General features: G+C 36.8%; 1 annotated feature.

Annotated features, from left to right (window-relative positions):
• Window positions 2,090-3,289: an enhancer, noted in NCBI's record as "MED14-independent group 3 enhancer chr3:67133372-67134571 (GRCh37/hg19 assembly coordinates)". NCBI's record gives its function as "activates an origin of replication core promoter dependent on BRD2, BRD4, P300/CBP and CDK7 cofactors, and independent of MED14, by STARR-seq in HCT116 cells {active_cell/tissue: HCT116}" and the evidence as "EXISTENCE:reporter gene assay evidence [ECO:0000049][PMID:35650434]".

Genomic DNA, 3,677 nt, shown 5'->3' on the forward strand with positions numbered 1-3,677 from the left:
CAAGGGTCAAATAAATATTAATATACGAAGTTAAGGATATGGATAAATGGTAACTGTTATCCATTGCCGAAAATAATATGTAAGTTATAAATGACTGATTTAGTAATGTATATCAAGAATTTAAAATGTTCATTACCATGTCTCGGGAAATTCCACTTATAATAATTTATCATATAAAACATTAAGAGATAAAAAAAGAAAAAAGATATAAAGATGTTAATTGCAGCATTATTTAAAATGGTATGTATGTGCTAACACTACAAATGTCCAATGATAGAAGGTTAAATAAATTAAAAGATATAAATACAATGAGATATTAAGAAGTAAACCATAGATTGCTTTCAATAAATACTTTATGAGGACATGTAAAAACACCACAATGCAATAAGTGAAAAACTCAAGATATCAGTCAATATATTTTGTTCCAAATTATGTGTATATATGTGTATATTTACATATAAGATATGTATTATTAAAACTACAATAAAGTTGGGAAATATATATGTTAAATAATATTAACTACTTGTGAAGAGTTTAATCATGGGGTCACTGTTCTTTTCTTATTTTTCTTTTTAAGTGCTTTTCAAATGGGTGTTTTTGTAATAAGGATACACATATGTATACTTGCATACATATACATTCATACAAATGAACATGTATTTCCTAATTTGTTTCATTATTTCATTATTGAATAATAACTACTGTGGGGAGAGGAATCTCAAATTAAATATCATATGTGAAGCACACAAATAAAAAAAATTATACTTGTCATTAGGAGAGGACCAATTCTCATCAGAGACATTTGGGGGAACTCACTAAGTCTTAGTTGGTACTTATCCAGTACTACTCACCATTATCAATATTTTATTTAAAAATATACTTCTGAACATGTAATTGTTTCATTTCAGAAATTAAACACTTTTTCAATCTCCACACAGCTGAGATTTCTACTTCCTTTTCATGTGATCTTAGGGTTATGTCTATTTCTGAAGGCTAGTGTATGAAAGTATTCATGAGATATTTTATACTGTCTTTGAAATTTTGATTTTACTATCTTTCATAAGTTTTAAAATATTTGCTTTTAAAATGGGAGTGAAAAGTGCAATCATCAAAGGTTAATTAAATTTCTCCCATCTGGAAATATGAATATTCTGAATATTTACATAGGATTAAAAGATTTAGACACATACATGCACATACACACACACACCAGAGACAGAGACAGACTTGTAACTTCTACTTCCAAAACCCTAATAAATAAGATTATGTAATTTGATGACAGATGATTTATTAAACAGCATCTTTACTGACAAGTTGTATTCTCTGCAACATCTGTCATTTTCCTATCTGATTATGTTTCCATCTCATTCAAACCATTATAGACAATGAATATTTTGATTAGTCATGTTGGGATACTGAATTATATCTAAAACCAAGCTGCTTCTCTGTCCTGGTTTGGATTTCTCCTAGAGCAAACCGCAAACCAAGGACTTGGGTGCAAGTAACTTGTTTGGGAGGTAATCCAAGGAGACATATTGAGGACATGGGGAGTGAGTCAGGGAATCGAGGAATGCTTGAAGCAGGTGTTCATGATCAGGCTCCTTCTGAGGGCAATCTGGATCTTGTTCTCTCTGGAGACCACCAGACAGACTGTGTGGAACATGCCTGGGAAATGACCCACTTAAGGACAAGGAAGTGAATAAGTGAATAAGGACAGTGAATTCTTTTTATGCACCAACACTTCTCTATATTATTTGAAGGTCATCAAAGGGACATTGACTTCCGGCATTTTCAGCCATCCCCATGACCAGGCTGCAAATGCCAACAGGCAGAGAGGAATGGCGATGCTCGGTGGATGGGAACTGTCTGTGGGAGACTTCTGGGTGTGGAGGAAGGCCCCGACCACCCCTCTGTGTGGAACAAGACATGGCCAGGGAAAAGAAGTGATGCTTTCACTTTTATTCTTTTGCAGAGTCACTAGCTCTGACATCAGTCTTAGCACTTAGGAGCCCAGTGACTTTGAGCCAGTTATAAATCCTCCCAAACCCCAGTTTTTCTCATCTGGACTTAGGTTTGGTCAGAACAAGTATCTGAAACTTAGAAGTAGGCAAAAAGATTAGTAGATATTCCTTCAGTGTTATGCTGGGCTTGATTTTCTATTAGCTTGGCTATTTTACAACTCTGTAGGGACAGAGGTTGATTTGTAGATTTTTGTCCTATGGAATGCAAATAATTTCTATTTGATAGAATAGAGCACCCCAAAGCTGACAGTTATGCTTCTCTTGGACATTATTCCATTTGGTATCCAACCCAGAAGTCTTATCCTAGTATTGCCTACAAACATCTGGCATTTAAATGTTCTTTGAACTGGTTTTAATATGTCAAGGGACTTTTGTTAATGAATGAATTGAATAAAAATATTTGGCATGTACTCATTTTACATTTACCTGAGAGTCATAATTTTTGCCTCTTTGAAAACTATACTTTCACAGTTTTATAAACTTATTTTAGCTGTGAGACTCTCCCATCCAAGCCTCCACGGACCCACTATATGTAAAATGGATGAGTATGCAGGAAGTGGTATATGCAGGAAGTGGTGAATATGCAGGAAGTGAGTATGCAGGAAGTGAGTACACAGGAAGTGGTGACCTGCCCACCTCCAAGCCTCTCACAGGCTGCTGAGGAATCTCTTTGCCTCTTTGGAATTGAGTTTTTTAATTGCTCTTCTAAATGATTCTCACTTGTCTTTTGGTCCTTTCTTTGTTTCAAAAAGCTTTCTTTTACAGAAAAGAAAATTGTAGAGACAAAGACCACCCAAACGAAAATTAAACAGATTATTTAGTTGGAGCTTGCTATACAAAGGAGTCAGCCACCATCACTTGTGCTCCACATGGACTTAAAGACAGGCAGAGGAGAGGGAAAGCGTACAGGGAAAAGGAGGAGGCTTCAGGTATGCCCTGATTGGAGGCTGTTGGCATGGGAAAGCTGGAGGTGGGCTGACTGGAGGTGGAGTTCCAATGTAATTGAGTTGGGGAGCATATTTTACTTTTTTTGTGTTGCTCTAAGTAGGAAGTGGGAGGACAGTGGCAAAAATTAGGGAAGCTGTCAGCTATTAAGTACTGACTACTTTGGGCTGATGGCTACAGAAATTGTGATTTGACTTCTTGGACTGGCTGCTGCAGACTGTGGGGCAAAGTTCTCTTTTTATATATGATCTGGCCATTGTCCATTTGTATTTTCAGTCCATCAAAATGGAGGCTTAAGTGTATTGAGTTGCGTGAGGTTCTGCACTCAGTGGCTAAGGAAGACTATATTGCCTGTGAATTCTAGCCTTAGCTTAACTGTAAAGAACAAAGTAAAACAAATCCCTGAGGCCCAGACCAAGACTAGGAAACAACAAAAACTAGGAGGGCAGATTAAAGAGGAGGTAGAGAGAGAAATTGAGATAGAAAGTTTATTCAAAGGGACAATAATAGAGAACTCCCCAAACCTAGAGAAAGATTTCAATATCTACGCACAAGAAGGTTAAGAATACCAAGCAGATTTAACTCAAAGAAGACTACCGGCTGGGCGCGGTGGCTCACGCCTGTAATCCCAGCACTTTGGGAGGCTGAGGTGGGAGGATAACAAGGTCAGGTGATCGAGACCATCCTGGCTAATACGGTGAAACCCCATTT

Source organism: Homo sapiens, chromosome 3 (genome assembly GCF_000001405.40).
Source record: "Homo sapiens chromosome 3, GRCh38.p14 Primary Assembly".
Lineage (NCBI taxonomy): Eukaryota > Metazoa > Chordata > Mammalia > Primates > Hominidae > Homo > Homo sapiens.